Source organism: Homo sapiens, chromosome 11, assembly GCF_000001405.40.
Source record: "Homo sapiens chromosome 11, GRCh38.p14 Primary Assembly".
Taxonomy (NCBI): Eukaryota; Metazoa; Chordata; class Mammalia; order Primates; family Hominidae; genus Homo; species Homo sapiens.
The window spans coordinates 60,053,739-60,075,072 of NC_000011.10; the positions used below are offsets into that span (position 1 = coordinate 60,053,739).

Genomic DNA, 21,334 nt, shown 5'->3' on the forward strand with positions numbered 1-21,334 from the left:
GGATGGTTAATGGGTACAAAAAAATAGAATAAATAAGACCCACTATTTGATAGCAAAACAGGGTGACTGTAGTCAATAACTGTACATTTTTAAGATAAAGAGTGTAATTGGATTGTTTGCAATGCAATGGATAACTGCTTAAGGGGATGGATACCCCATTCTTCATGATGTGAGTATTATGCATTTCATGCCTGTATCAAAATGTCTCATGTACCTCATAAGTATATACACTAGGTACTTACAAAAATGGAAAAAATAGGGGGCCGGGCGTGGTGGCTCATGCCTGTAATCCCAGCACTTTGGGAGGCCGAGGCAGGTGGATCACGAGGTCAAGAGATCGAGACAATCCTGCCCAACGTGGTGAAACCCCATCTCTACTGAAAATACAAAAATTAGCTGGGCGTTGTGGTGTGTGCCTGTAGTCCCAGCTACTCGGGAGTCTGAGGCAGGAGAATTGCTTGAACCCGGAGGCGGAGCTTGCAGTGAGCTGAGATCGCGCCACTGCACTCCAGCCTGGTGACAGAGTGAGACTCTGTCTCAAATAAATACATAAAAAATAAAAATAATTTTTATGTATTTATTTTACTGTTCCCCCCTCAGCTTTAATGAGGTACAGTCAGATACATATGTTCTGCAGATCTAATGAACAGCATGATAACTGAAGTTAATACTGTACTATGTACTTGAAGTTTAAGAGAGGAGATCTTAAATGTTCTCACCACCACCACCAAAAAAAAAAAAAGATGATTATGTGATCTGATGTGATCAGTAGATTATCTGCTTTGTGTTAGTGACTTCACAATGCACACATGTGTCAAAACATGTTGTACATGGTAAGTATATTAAATTTTTATTTGTGAATCTTCCTTTGAAAGCAGTTTCTCACAATCATTCTCTAAGGAATTGAAGAAAGAGCTCAATCATTTTTATTATTTACTTTGAACTCATGTGAAGATCTTAGTTATTAAGACCTTTACATGCATTCTGTCATTTATACTTTATACCCCAAAGTGGGCACTATGATCTTCAACTTACAAATGGGAGAACCGAAGTCTTAGAGTTTAAGTAACTTCCTTTCATGGCTTTTTCTACAGCTCCAAATTCAAAAAGAGCATGTTGAAAGCATCCACTCTTTCCTTTCATTTCTTCAGATTTCTTTCTCTTCTTCGCTGAAGGCATTTTCTTGTCATCTCTTTCTTCTTCAGTATTCCATTTGCAATGGTTCTGGATAAAACGGGGAGGGAAGGATCTTATCTTTACCACCTTCCTTTTGGCTATTTCCTTCTGACTTCTGTCTCTGTCTCTGTCTTCTCTTTCATCAGTCCCTTCCTTCGCTCCTAAATGTAGACCCTGGAGAGCCGCTGCCCTAGGGCTCAGGTGCCAGCTCTCTTAGCAGAAGCACCTGTGCAGAAATTTTCTGGCAACTGGGCCCCTGCTCATTTCATATTCACAATCTCTGCCCACACACTATGTTTTGGTCTTGGTAACTGGCCCTCTTTCTCTTTCCTGTGATCACGTCCCCACTGACGCTCCTGTTTGTAGGACTAGGACCTCGCTTTCCTTGCTGTGAACATTCTTCTCTGTCTCACAGACTCCCCTGGGGCATGGATCAGGGGCTGTGCCCTCATTCTTTCTCTCAGGCCTGGCCCTGTGACCTTCATAAGGATTGTGGTTTGAATCTTCACGTTACCTACTTCCTTACTCCTTGTCACTTGGCTCTGATCTTTCTATTGCCTATTTTAGGACATTTATTTAGGATAAGCATATAATTTGGCCACTTTTGAAACTGAAAGGAGGCCGGGCGCGATGGCTCATGCCTGTAATCCCAGCACTTTGGGAGGCTGAGGCAGGTGAATCACCGGAGGTCAGGAGTTCGAGACCAGCATGACCAATACGGTGAAACCCTGTCTCTACTAAAAATACAAAAATTAGCTGGGAGTGGTGGTGCATGCCTGTAGTTGCAGCTATTCAGGAGGCTGGAACAGGAGAATTGCTTGAACCCGGGAGGCGGAGGTTGCAGTAAGCCAAGATTGCACCATTGCATTCCAGCCTGGATGACAGAGTGAGACGCCATCTCAATAAACAAACGAAACAAACAAACAAATACAAAAAACCTAAAAAAACCAAAAAACAAAAAAGAAACTGAAAGGAGGGGTTTTAACAATCATATTAGGATAACAGGCACACTTCGGGCTTCACCATTGTACAAAACAGAGATTTTGCACAGGGCTTTTCCAGTTAAATTTTAGGAAAGCTGGGTAACATTTCTATACCATAGTTTTCTCTACCATAACATCGGGTTAATAGTAGTACCTGGGTCCTGGGTTATTGTGAGGATGAGATGAATTAACATATGTAAAGCATTCAGAACAATGACCTGTATGTAGTAACCATTTAATACATTTAAACAATAATTAGCATTATTATTATATCTGTGATATTGGGCAAAGTAATTAACCTCTCTAAGCATGTAAGAATTGAATGTCATCACGCATATAAGGTACATAGCACCGTTGCTGGCACATCATGTAAAATAAGTGCCTGAGTGACCACCTCCCTCCTCCAGATGCTTCTCTTACAGTGTGACTTTGTCTCTTCTTGCTATGCACCTAACACTGTTCTACCTCCAACCCACAACCTCTTCCCACTTGTCTACCCATATTGTTGCTTGTGTTTCCTGTTCCAGCAATGTGTTAAGCAACATCTGAAAGCCAGAAGACAGTTATCCCTCACACCAGTTTCCTAATCATCACTAAGCCCTGGGGAAACACAATGGATCAGCGAGGCCCCAAATGCAGATGTGATTAGCACACTGGTCAGTCAGCCCGCAAAACACTTTCACCAAGTCCTCTAAAGTGTTGCATAAGGCAAAGATAACGTTAAGTCTGTGGAGGCTTCCGTTATCGGGAAAAGATGCTGTAGTGATCTTTTCTGAGTGTCTCCTACTTGCGACAAGGTGGACTTGGGAGGAAAGCCGTCTGCCAAAGCCTGAAGCCTCCAAGGTATAGATTCCCTCTCCATAGACATTCCCCTTTCTTTTATATCTTTCGTTAAAATGCCTCCCAGTGGACTACTGGGGATGTCTGCAAAGGTCTCTGTTTGGTTGCTATGTAGAGGTTTGGAACATTTAACTGTGAACATGGCTTCTCTTTAGGATGTGATGATTCCTTTGGAGCCATGATAAAAAGTGTTAGACATAATAATACAGCAATTTCTTTGGGAAAATGTGGGTATGGATACACACACATGCACACGCACCTCTTAGGTACATTAAATCCCACTGGCTGCACCTGAGTTTGTCTGCCAGCTCTGATGATGAGGGGTGGTCTCGATATGCCTGAAGTATGGGGTCTGCAAAGTGCATTTTAGCATAGCTCAGGGGACAGTGGAGTGTAATGATAGCTTGAGGTTCTGATTTTTAGCTTCTCAAATTGCTGGCTGTGTGGGCTTGGGAAAGCTACTTAACTTCTTTGTTCCTCAGCTTCTTCATCTGTTAGATGGAAAGGATCATAGCAGTAGTACCCATTCATCTGATGTTGTGAGAACTAAATTAGTAAACATGGATAAAGCCCTTAGAACAAATGCCTGCCACATACTAAGAGCTGGAGAGATGAACTTAACTGGCAGTTTCCTAGAAAATCTACATTTCTCTGATTTTGTGTGTGTGTGTGTGTGTGTGAGAGAGAGACAGAGTCTCGCTCTGTCACCCAGGCTGGAGTGCAATGGCACGATTTCGGCTCACTGCAAACTCCGCCTCATGGGTTCAAACAATTCTCCTGCCTCAGCCTCCTGAGTAGCTGGGATTACAGGCGCGTGCTGTCACAACCAGCTAATTTTATGTGTTTTTAGTAGAAACAGGGTTTCACCATGTTAGCAAGGATGATCTCAATCTCCTGACCTTGAGATCCTCCCGCCTCTGCCTCCCAAAGTGCTGGGATTACAGGCATGAGCCACTGCACCCGGACCATTTCTCTGATTTTTTTAAAAATAAATAACTGATTTAACCAAATTTTAGAAAACATAGTTTGTTTCACCTGGAGGCTGAAAATTCTCCCTGATTATTTTGATTATTTGAAACAAATCAAGTTAAATAATATGGTTAGATATTTGCTCTCTTCAGAAATGCTCTTGGAGTTTCTTGAGATGAGAGGCTCCAGTGCTTGCAGAGGTATTTTCCATCATCATTTATCAGGATGGCTACCTTGGGCTGGACCAAAAGTCTGGTTACTGATTGAACATGTGTGTTAACTGAGTGCTTGCCATCTGATGATTCTGAGCTAGGCACTGGAGTTGCAGTGATGAGTAGACAACGAGGTAACAGACAAGTATCCAGGCAATTAAAGCTCAGGCTGATTAAGTGGTATGAGAAGGAAAGTTGAGGAAATTTTGAGAGCAACCCAAAGGGGTGCATGCTTCTTCCAGAGTTGGCCAGGACTAAAAACAGCATCCTGGAAGTATGACATGTGGGCTGAAAATCAGTCTGGAAGGGCCGGGCGCATTGATTCACGCCTGTAATCCCAGCACTTTGGGAGGCTGAGGTGGGTGGATCACCTAGGTCAAGAGTTCGAGACCAGCCTGGCCAACATGGTAAAACCCCATCTCTACTAAAAGTACAAAAATTAGCTGGGTGTGGTGGTGCACGCCTGTAATCCCAGCTACTTGGGAGGCTGAGGCAGGATCATAGCTTGAGCCCAGGAGGCGGAGGTTGCAGTGAGCTGAGATCGGGCCTCTGCACTCCAGCCTGGGAGACAGAGCAAAGCTCCAACTCAAAAAAAAAAAAAAAAAAAAAAAAAAAAAAAAAAAATTCAGTCTGGAAGGAGAGCAGAAATTATCCAGGTGAAGCTTGAGGGGACTTGTCTTTCAGGAATGGGGGATAGCACAGAGGATTGAAGACATTTGAGGGTTTAGAACTTCTGAAGGAAGACAAATCAAGAAAATAAGGCTGGATGGAGTTTTGAGATAGGGATGGGTGAGGGGTGAGGCAGGAGACGTAGGCGAGAGATTATCTGGTCATAAAGCAGCAACATTCTCCGTATTGCATGCATCTTAGTTCATTAGATATTTAATCCAAAATACACACAAATTTCCCAGTGGATAAATTTGAAGTCTTGGCTTTTTGGCTATTCTTATTTATACTTTTTGCAGATAATTACGTTAGGAACTTATTCACATAGAGTTTGCTTTAAGCTTTATTGATCTTCCCTCGCTCTTGGGTTCTGTACAGTGTTGAACACGGGGGGTTAAGGGTTCCTTGTCATTTCACATTTATCCATACTTAAATACATACAGAATGTAATTTAATCTTGGCATGAAAATCAATATTGGTAGGAAACTTTGATGAAGAGTATTGGTAGCAAAATTTTATGACATTTATAATAAATGTTTTATCAGTATTGGTAGAGAATTTTATGAATTTTTATAGCAATTCCCAGTGTAATAATAAAACATGGCTTGACTCTCACTTTTAGTCAATGCTTAGTAAATTTGTCATCACACTTAAATGAGTCATACACACCCCCAGAGTAGAGTATCAGAAAGGTAAACATCCTGAAAGTGGCGTGTATTTAGCTTGACAAAAAATTAAGTTATTAGAAAAATGGATCTAGTATATAATTTGTAACAAAGAGTAGAAATTAAGATACTATACTTTCTTTTTCAATAAAAAGCTTTTATTTTAGGTTTACGGGTACATGTACAGGTTCGTTATATAGGTAAATTCGTGCCACAGGGGTGTGTTGTGCAGATTGTCACCCAGGTACTAAGCCTAGTACTCAATAGTTATTTTTCCCGATCTCCTCCCTCCTCTCTCTGATAATCTCCAGTTGTTTTGTTCCCCTCTATGTGTCCATTTGTTCTTAGCATTTAGCTCCCACTTATAAGTGAGAATATGTGGTATTTGGTTTTCTGTTCCTGTATTAGCTTTCTAAGGATAATGGCTTCTACTTCATCCATGTTCCTGCAAAAGACATGATCTCATTCCTTTTTATGGCTGCATAGTATTCCACAGTGTGTATGTACCACATTTTCTTCATCCAGTCTACAAATGATGGACATTTAGGTTGATTCTATGTCTTTGCTATTGTGAATAGTGCTGCAATGAACATTCACGTGCATGTGTTTTATGGTAGAATGATTTATATTAAGATCTTATTCTTAACCCAATCGATAGTTATGGCAGAATACAGCATCATTTTATGTGTTTGTTTATGGTTCATCTCATGCCATCTCCCTCATCAGTTATAAAAGCATATAAGCATTTTACAACTATTTTGTGTAGGAGGGTACTATGAATTAGGAAGTTATCTTGCCCAACATTCAGAAGTCCAATGTAAGCATTCTGTGTGTACTTTAGTGATACATATTTTTCAGCTGTAATGATTGAGGTGGTTGTTTTGTGACCCTTATATATATACAAACTTGAAGTCCTTTTTGTTAGAAGGCAGAGTATAAGTTAAAAGCTGATACCACCTGTTCACAGGTTGAGAATTCCGTACATTATCAAAGTCAACTCTCGCAATGTTAATATAAAATTAAAATTATTCCCATTTTTACAGAAGTGAAAACTGAGGTTCCCACTACAAGGTCATGCAACTAGTAAGTGATGAAATCTGGATTTGAATTGGAATCTTCCATAGTGCTTAAACTCTGAAAACTGAGGTTCCCATTACTAGGTCATGCAACTAGTAAATGATGAAATCTGGATTTGAATTTGGATCTTCCATAGTGCTTAAACTCTACCATGCTATGTTGGTACTCAGAAAGACGTCTTCTATATAGTACTATATAATGTGGTGATTTGAAAAATATTGGACCTTAGAGTAGAATGTTTTTAGTAAAATCTGAAATGATTTATAAGCCATATGAGTTTGGGTAAGTTTCTCGGTCTCTCTATACCTCAATTTTTTTCATCTGTGAAACGGGAATAATAATAATATTATAACAGGATTAAGTATATTAATACATTCACAGCATCCAGACAGTGCTTGGCATATAGTAATAAGTACTAAATAAATGACACCTACTATTATTACTGGAATGTGACTAAAGCCATTATTCTTATAAAGAGACCACTGCTCAGAGAAACCATATGTCTGGTTGCCCTTGACTGACTTGAAGAAAGGCAGGGACTATATATCAGTGCATGCAAAATGAGAAAGAAATTGCTCTTTACCATTCCAAAGTTAAGTGAAGCACCAAGGCCTACTACAATGACCCGATGATGTCTACTACTCCAAGGCAAGACAGAATTGAATATTGTACAAACTCTGTTACTCTGCCCTGGTGTCCCATTTGTGGAGAGTCATTGTAATGTATGGACAGAATTGAACCCTTCTGTAACACTCAAAATTTTAGTAGCTAGTGGAAAAAGGGAAAGCATGAAGGCTTTGGATTTCTTTTCTATCACAGCCATAAACAACCCCAATGGCCTCCCACGAAGTTGATAATGCAGAGCTGGGGTCAGCCTCTGCCCATGGTACCCCAGGCAGTGAGGCGGGACCAGAAGAGCTGAATACTTCTGTCTACCAGCCCATAGATGGATCACCAGATTATCAGAAAGCAAAATTACAAGTTCTTGGGGTAAGTCAGCCTTAGTTTAAACACTGATTTAAGAGGGAAGAAAATAAATACAGTTGACCTGTGAATAACGTGCGTTTGAACTGTGAGGATTCCCTTACATGTGGATTTCTTCCACCTCTGTTTGCCATCCCGAGACAGCAAGAACAACCCCTGCTCTCCCTCTTCTTCCTCAGTCTATTCAACGTGAAGAGGATGAGGATGAAGACCTTTATGATAATCTACTTCCACTTAATGAATAGTAAATACATTTTCTCTTTCTTATGATTTCCTTAACGTTTTTAGTTTCTCTAGCTTATTGTATATAATATGTCACATACAAAATATGTGATAATCGACTGTTTATATTAATAGTAAGACTTCTGGTCAACAGTAGGCTATTAGTAGTTAAGTTTTTGGGAAGTCATAAGTTTTACGTGGATTTACCACCATGAAAGGGTGGGCATTCCAAACCCCAATGTTGTTCAAGAGCCAACTGTATCATGTAGAAAACCTTGCTTATGCTGAGAAGGAGGAAATTCTGAGTTATTTATCACTGACTTAATAATGATTGGAGAAAAGACAGGGACTTCTTATAGATCTGGGGAGCAGAAATGCAAAGGCATTTTCTCATGGTAGAAAACATCAAACCTTGGAGAACAGATTCCAAGACCCTTCATTTTTTGTTTTGTGCCTTTTGACCAGCCATTTGAGGAGGCTGAGCTCTATGAAGCTTATATTCTATATTTTAAATTTAAAAATTGGGTTGAGAGAAGGGTTAAAAATTGGGTTGAGAGAAAGGCTGAGTAGGATATGGCTTATCCTCTGTCTGCCTTCATCATATTATGATGCAAAAGCATGCTGGGAAGAGACTTTGACTCCATCTACCTTACCAATCATGTCTGTTTTACTGTCCTGCCACTTTCTGAGAGGAGTTCGTGAGAATGAACAGAAATGTGGGGGAGAGGTGAAGACAAAATGCTGCCACTGGAATTGGTGTGGATAGCGTGGAATAAAAAACTCTTTCAGATAAGCTCTCGTTCTGTTAATTTAGGCTTGACACTTTAACCATTTCAAGCACCGACATCTCCTTTCTGAGGAAAATTAAAATGGCCTGTTTTCAGTGTCCACTTTAGTATATGACTGTTACGCCTTTTTCCCCTTTCTTCTTTCAGGCCATCCAGATCCTGAATGCAGCAATGATTCTGGCTTTGGGTGTCTTTCTGGGTTCCTTGCAATACCCATACCACTTCCAAAAGCACTTCTTTTTCTTCACCTTCTACACAGGCTACCCGATTTGGGGTGCTGTGTTTGTGAGTATTCGTACTCCCCTGGCTATATGTTATTTCTTAGATACCACTGCTGGAGATGTGTTTGATGACAAAAATATTGTTTGTAGGTTATTGGAAGGTTGCATGCTGTGGTTTTGATTTGCAATTCTTGATATAAACAATTAGAGACGATAAACTCTTTTTTATTTTTTAATTTAATTAATTACTTAATTAATTTATTTTTTGAGACAAAGTCTCGATCTGCCATCCAGGCTGGAGTGCAGTGGCATGATCTCTGCCCACTGAAACCCTCTGCCTCCCCAGTTCAAGTGATTCTCTTGCCTCAGTCTCCTGAGTGGCTGGGATTACAGGCATGCACCACCATGCCCACCTAATTTTTGTTTTTGTATTTTTAGTAGAGACAGGGATTCACCATGTTTTCCAGGATGGTCTCGAACTCCTGACCACAAGTGGTCCTCCCAGCTTGGCCTCCCAAAATGCTGGAATTGCCAGGCATGAGCCCTGATGCCAGGCCAAAAATCTCTTTCTGATTAAGAGAAACCACATTTGCCAAGTACAAATGAAGTCCTAAAAATTATCTTATATATAACTATATGTTACATTTATAGATACTTAAAAAATTGAATGAAAAATGGGTATTGATGAATTGCCTTGTGGTACAGCAGAGAGTCCTGGCTTGAGAGTTAAGAAATTTGTCTGCTGATTACTGTCTGAAAGTCAGAAGAATCATTTCCATTATCTGGGTCAACATTCAATCAGAAGAAATAGGGGTGATTTTAAAATGTATTCATTCAGTTTTGATTATTTATTACTTCCCTGATGGTTCATTTTTAAAAAGTGAATGATATGTTTGTTGGCCATTTGTATATCTTCTTTTGAGAATTGTCTATTCATGTCCTTAGCCCATTTTTTGATGGGATTGTTTGTTTATTTCTTGGTGATTTGTTTGGGTTCATTGCAGATTCTGGATATTAGTCCTTTGTTAGATGTATAGATTGTGAAGATTTTCTCCCACTCTATGGGTTGTCTGTTTACTCTGCTGACTGTTCCTTTTGCCGTGCAAAAGCTCCTTAGTTTAATTAGGTCCCAGCTATTTATCTTTGATTTTATTGCATTTGTTTTTGGCTTCTTCGTCATTAAATCCTTGCATAAGCCATTATCCTAAGTGAAGTAACTCAGGAGTGGAAAATCAAACATCATATGTTCTCACTTATAAGCGGGAGCTAAGCTATGAGGATGCAAAGGCATAAGAATGACACAATGGACTTTGGGGACTCAGGGGGAAAGGTGGGAAGGAGGTGAGGGATAAAAGGCTACAAATTGTGTGCAGTGTATACTGTTTGGGTGATGGGTGCACCAAAATCTCACAAATTACCACTAAAGAACTTATCCATGTAACCAAACACCACCTGTTCCCCAATAACGTATGGAAATAAAAAAAATTTAAAAAATAAAATGAATAAAACTAATTGCATGGAAAGACTAAATAAATAAATAAATAAATAAATAAATAAATAAAGTGAGCAGCATCAAGTACAATTCTGTGTCCTAGGATGTGAATTTAAAAGGGAGGTTTGTATGACTATTGCTGGATATCTGCTAATTGAGGGAGGACCAAGAAGAAAATGGTTGAGACTTAATATTCCTTTATCTGTTTTCCTTCCTATTTTCAAACAGTTCTGTAGTTCAGGAACCTTGTCTGTTGTAGCAGGGATAAAACCCACAAGAACATGGGTAAGTAGCACTTCCTCTTTTTCTATGATCAGAGGAGTAGAAATATATTATTCATAAACAGTAGGACAGTAAGTGTCCATGAATACAACTGAGACACTGAGTATCATTTAATGCACAAAATATTAGTTTTCTTAACGTGTTCAGATGGTAGGTCAGCAGATCACATACATTGTGAGGATGCATTCCTGGGATGCTTGCTCTTAATATTGGTGAACTTGAAGCTTAGAAAAAGTCTTCTTGATTTTTATGTGTTGTCAAGTTTGACCAATTCTAATTATTTGGAAGTAAGAACTCCCACCACTAACTAGTTTGACAACTGAAAGTCCAAACTTCTATTCTAAACAACTGCTAAGTCTCTATGATGTGTTCTTAGTGAGTCACGTAGCCACTGATACTCCACTTTCCTACTCCATTCATTCACTTTCCCTCCTCCATGGATAGCTATTTTACCATTTTATTGTATCCTCAAACACCAATCCCACTTCTGTCATCCTTACTCTCTGCTGATGATTTTTCTGTCTCTTCTGAGAAAACTGAAGCCATTAGAAGGGAATTTTCAGACCTCCACTACTAATGGACTAGATCTGTACCAATGTATTTTTTTCTTCTAGCCTCTTACCATAGGAAAATTTTGTGATTTTCTTTAAAGCTGATCTCCCTACTTGAGTATAAGATTCCATTCTTTTTTTCCCCACACAAGTGCATCACTTTAATTTTTGTCTCTCTGCTATATATATATTTTTCGAGTCTCACTCTGTCACCCAGATGGGAGTGCAGTGGTGTGGTCACAGCTCACTACAGCCTCCACCTTCCAGGGCTCATGCAATCCTCCCACCTCAGCCTCTCACATAGCTGGGACTACAGGTGTGTGCCACCATCCCTGGCTAATTTTTGTCTTTTTTTTTTTTTTTTTTGTAGAGACAGGATCTTGCCATGTTGCCCAGGCTGGTCTCAAAATCTTGGGCTCAAGCAGTCCTCCTGCCTCAGCCTCCCAAAAGGCTGGGGTTACAGGCGTGAGTTACCTTGCCCCATCTCTAATCAGCATGTAAACATCCAGTTACTGTTCTCAACTTAAAAACAAAACAAAACAAAACAAAACAAGAAAACCTTGACATTATTTCTCCCTGCTAGGGACAGGCACAATTTGTATTTTCCTTCTGTAGCTAAACTCCTTCAAAGGAATCATCATGTTCTTTCTCTGATTTCCATCTACCGGTTTGAATCAAACCCACTTCAATAAGACTTTATTTTATTCCCTACTATCCTTCTGTAACTGCTGTCTTTAAGATCACTGAAAACTTCCACCCTGCTAAAACAACGGTCAACTCTTGTTCCTCATCTAACTTAAGCTATGAGTAGCATTTAGCATAGTTAGTCGCCCACTCCTCCTTCCAGGAATTTCCTCACTTGGCTTCCAGCATACATTGCTTGGCTGGTTTTCCTCCCATCTTTTGCTTTCTCCATCTCAGTCTCCTTTCCTGGTTCCTCTCCTTGTCTCTGACCTTTTAATGTTCTGGTGCCCCAGAGCTGAATTCTTTGCCACCTGCTCTTCTCAATCTATACGTACTTCTTCTGTGATCTCACACATTCTTATGACTTCAAGTAATATCTGTATGCCCACAACCCTGAAATAAGTATTTCCAGCCCAGGTGTCTCTCCTGATCATCAGACTGGCATGTAAAGATCCAAAGCTCAACTCCCAGTCTTCTTCCTCAAACCTTCTCCTCATGTCAGCTGATGGGAATGTCATCCTTCCAGATTCCCAGACCAAACACCTTAGAATAACCAAGAGTCTTCTTTCTTTCACAATCCTGAATCCTATTTATCAGCAAATAATGTTGGCTCTACTTTCAAGCTATTATTATATCCAGTTTTGACCTTTTCTTATCTTTCTATTGATGACATTTCATCCAATCCACCTTGTCTCTCCTAATTGGGCTTCTAGCTTTTATCGTTGAACTTCTCTTTGCCTTGCTAGAAACAGTGATCCCTTGAAACCATAAAGCCAAGTATATCATTTATTTGCTCCAAATCCTTCATTGGCTTTGTATTTTTCTTAGAGTTAGAAACAAGTTCCTTTTCATGATCTGCAGAGCCCCACATGATTTGGCTCTCTGTTAACTTTCCTTCTTCTTCATTTCCTAGTATTGACTACGTGCCTCCAACGCCCTTGACCCCTTTGCTGCCCCAGAAGATTCTGGCCTCAGGATTTTGAGTGTTTCCCTAATTTCAAGGATATTCCCCCAGATATCCTCCTGGCTGGCACCCACAGCTCTTTCATGCCTCTCCCCAGTGTCATTTCTATTTAATATCATGAACCCCCACTCCTCTCTTTGGATTCCCAGATTCTCCTTATCCCATTCTGTTAGCCCCTAGTACTTAATCACTTTCAAAAATATTATGTAATTTACCTATAGTATGTTTACTTTTTTCTTTGTTTTTATTGCTAGAATATAAGCTCCATGGAGGGTGGGGGACAGAAATCTTTCTTTGGTCATTGATGTTAGCCTCGCATCTAGGATATCAGTGGGTGTGTAAACAATATTCAATCAATGTTTGTTTCAATGAATTGTTGCCAAAGGAATGAAGTACGTGCTGCATATATTAATTGAAAATTCTTATTCTTTTTTAGATACAGAACAGTTTTGGAATGAACATTGCCAGTGCTACAATTGCACTAGTGGGGACTGCTTTTCTCTCACTAAATATAGCAGTTAATATCCAGTCATTAAGGAGTTGTCACTCTTCATCAGAGTCACCGGACCTATGCAATTACATGGGCTCCATATCAAATGTATGTTTCTGAAAAATATGTATAAGTATAAAATATTTCAAACAATCCAGGATGTACAGAAAAATAATATATCAGGTACCAATGTGCCATAATTTGAATCTTTTTTTTTTTTTTTTTTGAGACGGAGTCTCGCTCTGTCGCCCAGGCTGGAGTACAGTGGAGTGATCTCGGCTCACTGCAAGCTCCGCCCTCCTGGGTTCACAGCATTCTCCTGCCTCAGCCTCCCGAGTAGCTGGGACTACAGGCGGCCACCACCATGCCCAGCTAATTTTTTGTATTTTTTTAGTAGAGACGGGGTTTTACCGTGTTAACCAGGATGGTCTTGATCTCCTGACCTCGTGACCCGCCCGCCTCGGCCTCCCAAAGTGCTGGGATAAGGGGCGTGAGCCACCGCGCCCATCCCATAATTTGAATCTTGGGTCTGTCGCCTATTTGCTTTATAATGAAGGGCAAATTAGATAATCCCTTGAATTTTCTCATTTTTGAAATGAGGATAACAATAGTACCCGTCTCATAGGATTTATGTGAGTATTTAAAAAGTTAACATATGATAAGCAATTAAAACAAGGCTTAGCATATCATGATACACAATTATTATTACCACAACTACTACTATTACACTCCCCAGAGAGATTTTTTTTTAAGTTTCATTTCACCGGGCGCGGTGGCTCACGCCTGTAATCCCAGAACTTTGGGAGGCCGAGGCAGGCGGATCACGAGGTCGAGAGATCGAGACCACCCTGGCCAACATGGTGAAACCCCGTCTCTACTAAAAATACAAAAAAAAAAATTAGCCGGGCATGGTGGCAGGCGCCTGTAATCCCAGCTACTTGGGAGGCTGAGGCAGGAGAATCACTTGAACCCGGGAGGCGGAGGTTGCGGTGAGCCGAGATTGCGCCATTGCACTCCAGCCTGGGCAAAAAGAGTGAAACTGTCTCAAAAAATAAAAAAATAAAAAAATAAAGTTTCATTTCATATCTCCTTGCTTAATAAAACAAACTTGAGAGATTTACAACTTTCTCTGCAATCTGGAATGTTCAAATAATGACTTGAAGTTTTGAAGGACTGCGCTTTAGAATGAAATTAGCATGGTGTTTTCAAAGGAAAGCTCTTTAATAACCTTACCTTTTTTTTTTTTTTTTTTTGAGACGGAGTCTTGCTCTGTCACCCAGGCTGGAGTGCAGTGGCGCCATCTCGGCTCACTGCAAGCTCCGCCTCCTGGGTTCACGCCATTCTCCTGCCTCAGCCTCCCGAGTAGCTGGGACTACAGGCGCCCGCCACCACGCCCGGCTAATTGTTTTTTTTTTTTTTTTGTATTTTTAGTAGAGACGGGGTTTCACTGTGTTAGCCAGGATGGTCTCGATCTCCTGACCTCGTGATCCGCCCGCCTCTGCCTCCCAAAGTGCTGGGATTACAGGCATGAGCCACCGCGCCCAGCCAACCTTACCAATTTTTTAAAAATTTGTGTTCAGGTACTCTACCTCTTCTGAACTCTACTTAGAAATTAATATTTTCCTTTGGAATTATCCATTTCATCCCAGTGATCTATGAACTGTTAATTACAGACTCACTCCTAAGCTTCCTGTTTTCTTTTTATTATTATTATTATACTTGAAGTTCTAGGGTACACGTGCACAACGTTCAGGTTTGTTACATATGTATACATGTGTCGTGTTTGTTTGCTGCATCTATTAACATGTCATTTACATTAGGTATTTCTGTTAATGCTATCCCTCCCCCAGCCCCCCACCCCACGACAGGCCCTGGTGTGTGATGTTCCCCGCCTTGCGTCCAAGTGTTCTCATTGTTCAGTTCCCACCTATGGGTGAGACACTACTTATGGAAGTTTGTGTTCTCATTTTCTTTATTACATTTTTAATGATCTAAATTTATATTTGTCGGAGCCTGATTTTTCTGTGAATTTGGAGGTATTTTTCCTCCAGGGATATATTGTATTGGTTGCTTCTAGGTGCCTCAGTAATAATAGTAGAATCATTAGCCCAACAATTTTATTTTTTGTTTATATTAGCTCAGTGTTTTAGTTTCTAGGGATAATGTAAATGCCTAAACCCCTATGAAGTGCTAATGAAATTGTGGAAGGGCCATTTTTGTTCATTTTTCTAAACTGCCTACTCCTCTCCTTAGTTTACTACTATTCAGATTGGAAGATGTTAGTGATAATGTCAGAATTTTGTTTCTACAGCTTCTTCCCCCTGTAGCTACTTCACATGCGTTGACATAGAAATGTGACACATCTTTCTCATTAGAGAAAATGTTTTCATGCTTTTAGATTGAGATACTATCTCTTCTACAGTGTTATATGTGTCTCTGTCTTTAATTTATGGTTCACTTTGTTCCACTTTACGGGAGGGAGATGTTGTAGTCTGGTTTCCTGCTGACATTTTTTTTTTTACCTCTGGATGTTGCCACTGGGTTTGATATAAGGCATCATATCCCCTAGGGCATGGTGTCTCTACTGCTGATTCTCACCTTGCTGGAATTATGCGTAACCATCTCTACCATAGCCATGTGGTGCAATGCAAACTGCTGTAATTCAAGAGAGGTGAGATTTTTCAAATGATTAATCATTCACATGATCTCAAAGCCTCCCTGTAGGGTTTGAAGTTGTTTCTGATGCTTAGAAATAAACCTTTATGTGGTAATGATTTGTGGAGTTCCTGGAATTAGAGATTGTATGAATGTTAGAGATGGAATGAAGGGTAGAAAAGAATTTGGATGTGAACATGCAAGAGGAAATACTGTACTTGATATATAAGAGCATACTTTCTTATACAGCTGTAATTAAGTTTTATTATTTTCTTATAACTTGTAACTTTCTAATTGTATGACCTAGGAAAAATTAATAATTCTTTCTAAATTTTAGATATATTAACTGTAAAATGAAAATAATATTTTCATTCTCTTCTAATGTTTGTTGTGAGTACTGTGTATATAATCTTTATGGCATTTGGCACAGTAAACATCAATGAATGGATTTTATTGTTGATGATTATGATGATAACAGGAAGGGATGGGAGGAGAAGGAGATAATGATCCTGTTCTTGGACATTAATGTTGTTTTATTTTCTAGGAAATTTCCTCACCTCCCAATTCTGTGTAATCAAGAATACCTCCTTAATTCTGAGAGCATGAATATTTGACCTTAAATCTCCAGTGACTCAGAGCTTCACCCACAAACTCAGGAGAACATAAGCCTGCTCGTAAAGCTCAATCCTTCTATCATGGCACCAATCACAAGAACCTTGGACGTTTGACTGACTCTATCCTTTCTCTCCTAACTATAAATCCTATTTGTGTGTCGTGGGTATGGAAGGACAGATATATTTCTTTAGGCATTCTTGGATATCTGTAACTTCTATGATCATTACTCCAAAGTTGTTTCCAGAAATTGGTTCTATTTCTTCTTATCCACCTACTCCATTGCTTTATGAGGTTTAAGGAAGGAAGGCGGTATAATCCCTATTCAATATATTTTTTCTAAAATCCAACTTCTGACCGCCCAGTAGGAAGAAAAATGAGACATTTTTTCCATTACAGAGAAATGCTTCTTGACTTTAACATCAGCATTATAAAAAGTGTCAAATAAAAAATTACCATCATTATCATTAAAATAAATTTTCACTGTATTTGAGATGGGAGGGTTAAGGCTCAGGGATTTTATTTCAGTGAACTGCTGGAACTCACACATGCCCTGATATGTAAATGATGATTTATGTTGGCGAGTCTGAGAGCAAGCCCAAATGTGTTCTTCAAAGGACAATGGGAAACTGTAAAGTAGAGAACTAAAGAATAAGGCCTTTAGAATCTGACACATCTGGGTTCAAATTCTGAAACTGTCACTTATTACCTGTATGAACATGGGCAAATTATCTAATCTCTCTGATCTATTTTTCCTCATCTGTAAAATAGGTGTAATAATAACAACTACTTTGTCGGTTGCTCTGAGGGTTAAATGAAAATAAAAAGAAAATGTGAAACAGCACCACAGGTACTTGACAATGATGTTGCTGTTGTTGTTGGTCTTGCTGTTGCTGGTGAAAGCTAAGGTGGGATTGTGGTCAGATGTGCTGGAGAGATACAGTGGAAAACTTACTTACACTTCCATTGTGGCTCCTCGTATAACCTCCAACAACTCCAATAGCCATCTTTTCGAGGTGGCAATGTGGCGTGAAAACTTCCCTCAGTTCCTCGTTTATAAATCTGCTAAAGCACTTATATTTCTTATTCATAAATATCCAAGAAAAATAAAATTTATGAATAAGAAATATAAGCACTTATTGTGTCCATAAATTTATACCAATAATTTATTCTTAGTTACGTGTATATCGTATGTGCAAAGGTTCTTTTCTAACACTTGTATCCTACTTATATAATAATTATTTCTTTATTTTTTAATCCATTCTGCAGCGGGATAATTAAGGAACCAGAGAGACTGAGGGGTTGAGGAGGAATTATTTAATTATTTAGGTGCACCGACCCAGTCGGATTAACATCCAAAGGACTGAGCCCCAAACAAAGAGTCCGGTTACCTTTTAAGCATTTTGTGCAGCGGGGGACGATCTGTGCAGGGGGAAGCATATTACAGAAGTGAGAAACAAAGACAGTTATTCAATTAAGACATGTATTACATTATTTCTTATTTTTTCAAGGAAAAACATGTTTTACGACTTGAGTTTATCTGCCTAGTGACCTTGCACCTGCACAGCTAGAGAAATAGGGTCTTCACAATGCCTGGGAAAGGGAGAGATAAGGCTCACTAGCCGCAGAAAAACAGGCAGTTAATTTTAAAGGACTCCAGCTCTTTCTCTTCTTCAGGGGGAATTGGGTTTCTCTTACATACAACCGAGCTTTTGCTTACACATTCTTTAATTTCTTTTAATTCCTGTTCTAATTCAACAATCATTTAGGGAGTGCCTACAGTGTGTCACGTATTGTGCTAAGAGCTTGGCATATAATAGAGAATGATGCAAAATCTCTGCTCTTAAGTTGCTTGTAGTGGGAGATACAGACCCCTAGAAACACACAAGGGCTCTCATAGGAAGAGTATAGGAATCTTGAGAAGCACGTAGGACGAGCTTCTAACCCAGATTAGAAGACATGTCAGTGATAATTTTTTAGAACACTTTTCTTCTCAACTGAGTTCTTAAAGATAACTGAGCGTTAACATGATGGAAGGCAAATGGAAGAAAAGAGGATACATTAAAAGCCTTTAAGTTAGAAAAAATTTTGAATATTCAAAGAATAAACTAGAGACTTTAGTGGGTCTAACTTCAGTGTATAATGGGCAGATGGAAAAATAAAAGTTTGGAGAGAGGTGTACATCACAAGAGATTATAAAATGACAGCACTGTGAGTTTTTTTTTATTTTTTTTATTTTTTATTTTTTATTTATTTATTTTTTTATTGATCATTCTTGGGTGTTTCTCACAGAGGGGGATTTGGCAGGGTCATAGGACAATAGTGGAGGGAAGGTCAGCAGATAAACAAGTGAACAAAGGTCTCTGGTTTTCCTAGGCAGAGGACCCTGCGGCCTTCCGAGGTGTTTGTGTCCCTGGGTACTTGAGATTAGGGAGTGGTGATGACTCTTAACGAGCATGCTGCCTTCAAGCATCTGTTTAACAAAGCACATCTTGCACCGCCCTTAATCCATTGAACCCTGAGTGGACACAGCACATGTTTCAGAGAGCACAGGGTTGGGGGTAAGGTCATAGATCAACAGCATCCCAAGGCAGAAAAATTTTTCTTAGTACAGAACAAAATGAAGTCTCCCATGTCTACTTCTTTCTACACAGACACAGCAACAATCTGATTTCTCTATCTTTTCCCCACCTTTCCCCCTTTTCTATTCCACAAAACTGCCATCGTCATCATGGCCCGTTCTCAATGCGCTGTTGGGTACACCTCCCAGACAGGTTGGTGGCCGGGCAGAGGGGCTCCTCACTTCCCAGAAGGGGCGGCCGGGCAGAGGCGCCCCCCACCTCCCTCCCAGACGGGGCGGCTGGCCTGGTGGGGGCTGACCCCCCACCTCCCTCCTGGATGGGGCGGCTGGCCGGGCGGGGGCTGCCCCCACCTCCCTCCCGGACAGGGTGGCTGCCAGGCAGAGACGCTCCTCACTTCCCAGATGGGGCGGCTGCCAGGCGGAGGGGCTCCTCACTTCTCAGATGGGGCGGCCGGGCAGAGACGCTCCTCACCTCCCAGACGGGGTCGCAGCCGGGCAGAGGCGCTCCTCACGTCCCAGACGGGGCGGCGGGGCAGAGGCGCTCCCCACATCTCAGACGATGGGCGGCCGGGCAGAGACACTCCTCACTTCCTAGACAGGATGTCGGCTGGGAAGAGGCGCTCCTCACTTCCCAGACTGGGCCGCGGGGCAGAGGGGCTCCTTACATCCCAGACGGGGTGGCAGCCGGGCAGAGGCTGCAATCTTGGCACTTTGGGAGGCCAAGGCAGGCGGCTGGGAGGTGGAGGTTGTAGCGAGCTGAGATCACGCCACTGCACTCCAGCCTGGGCAACATTGAGCACTGAGTGAACTAGACTCCGTCTGCAATCCTGGCACCCCAGGAGGCCGAGGCTGGCGGATCACTCGCAGTTAGGAGCTGGAGACCAGCCCGGCCAACACAGCGAAACCGCGTCTCCACCAAAAAAAATATGAAAACCAGTCAGGCATGGCGGCGCGTGCCTGCAATCGCAGGCACTCGGCAGGCTGAGGCAGGAGAATCAGGCAGGGAGGTTGCAGTGAGCCGAGATGGCAGCAGTACAGTCCAGCTTTGGCTCGGCATCAGAGGGAGACCGTGGAAAGAGAGGGAGAGAGAGACCGTGGGGAGCGGCAGCGGGAGCAGGAGCGGGAGAGGGAGAGGGAGAGGGCAGCACTATGAGTTTTAAGAAGCAATTGAAAATGTATGCAGGTTCCAGGCACGGTGGCTCACACCTGTGATCCCAGCACTTTGGGAGGCCAAGATGGGTGGATCACTTGAGATCAGGAGTTTGAGACCAGCTTGGCCAACATGGTGAAATCCCGTCTCTACTAAAAATACACAAATTGGTCATGTGTGGTGGCATGTGCCTGTAATCCCAGCTACTCAGGAGGCTGAGGCAGGAGAATCGCTTGAACCTGGGAGGCAGAGGTTGCAGTGAACTGAGATTGCGCCACTGCACTCCAGCCTGGGCAACAGAGTGAGACTCCATCTAAAAAAAAAAAAAAGAAAGAAATTTACACAGGAATGTCCTGAGACTGGCTTATATTGGTTTGTGGAAGTCAATTTTAAATTTTCAGGGAGCACAGGTCAACATAGTTTGGGTAGCCTGAAGTTAGCTCTGATGGGAGGATTTACACCACAGAGATGGGGAAAAACCACAAGTTTTAGGATTCATGTGTAGATTTTGCCTGCAGCAAATACCATTGTGTTGTTCAAAAGGTGATTTTGTTTCCCTCATTTCTCCTTTATTTATCATTTAAATGTTTCAGTAAGGAAGATTTGTATCTTCTTTCATTTGTTTATTAAAGTATTTATATTGTTATGTACTCATGAATATTTATATTATTCTTTTGGTTATGAGCAATATTTGTTTTGTTTCTCAAAGTTTTCCAGCTTTGGCCATTGGGAGCTGAGTTGGCTCCTGTGTAGTTTTGACATGCTGCACCCCACTCTCCCCTTTTTAGCACTTCCATATTTTCTGGAACTACAGGATTCTTCATGTTATTTCACCTGCTACAGACCTAGAATTTTCATTTCTTCAGGGAGCCCTGGTTTCTTTACTTAGAGAACTATATTTAGAAAACCTGACCTGGAGGCAAGATGTGCTCATTGCTACTGTATGTCACTGCTTTTAGCCCCCCTCAGGAGACAAAGCTAAGAAATATATGCATGTACACTGACCCATGCATGCACATGTCTATATTTATTATCATATGTATGTATCTATCCATCTCTCTCTCTCCATC

At 40.9% G+C, this 21,334-nt stretch overlaps 1 protein-coding gene across 4 annotated transcripts; it reads left to right on the top strand.

The window, feature by feature from the left end:
• The first annotated feature begins 2,926 nt into the window (after positions 1 to 2,926).
• Positions 2,927 to 17,377, top strand: MS4A3 (membrane spanning 4-domains A3). 4 transcript variants are annotated; one of them, NM_006138.5, is made up of 7 exons: positions 2,927 to 3,002; positions 7,408 to 7,578; positions 8,730 to 8,867; positions 10,524 to 10,580; positions 13,213 to 13,374; positions 15,836 to 15,937; positions 16,466 to 17,377. In NM_006138.5, the coding sequence occupies exons 2-7, from the start codon at positions 7,423 to 7,425 to the stop codon at positions 16,493 to 16,495; spliced, it is 645 nt and encodes a 214-aa protein (NP_006129.4). In that variant the 5' UTR covers positions 2,927 to 3,002; positions 7,408 to 7,422; the 3' UTR covers positions 16,496 to 17,377. The 4 variants fall into 4 exon arrangements, with proteins under 4 accessions (NP_006129.4, NP_001026979.1, NP_001026836.1 ...); NM_001031809.2 differs by lacking the exon at positions 8,730 to 8,867; XM_011545363.4 differs by lacking the exons at positions 2,927 to 3,002; positions 7,408 to 7,578 and adding an exon at positions 7,785 to 7,816.
• Positions 17,378 to 21,334: the final 3,957 nt, after the last annotated feature.

Coding starts and splice junctions, on each gene's coding strand:
- MS4A3 (NM_006138.5), top strand. CDS start 7,423: ATGGCCTCCCACGAAGTTGATAATGCAGAGCTGGGGTCAGCCTCTGCC. Junction 7,579..8,729: donor CAAAATTACAAGTTCTTGGG/GTAAGTCAGCCT, acceptor TTCTTCTTTCAG/GCCATCCAGATCCTGAATGC. Junction 10,581..13,212: donor TAAAACCCACAAGAACATGG/GTAAGTAGCACT, acceptor ATTCTTTTTTAG/ATACAGAACAGTTTTGGAAT.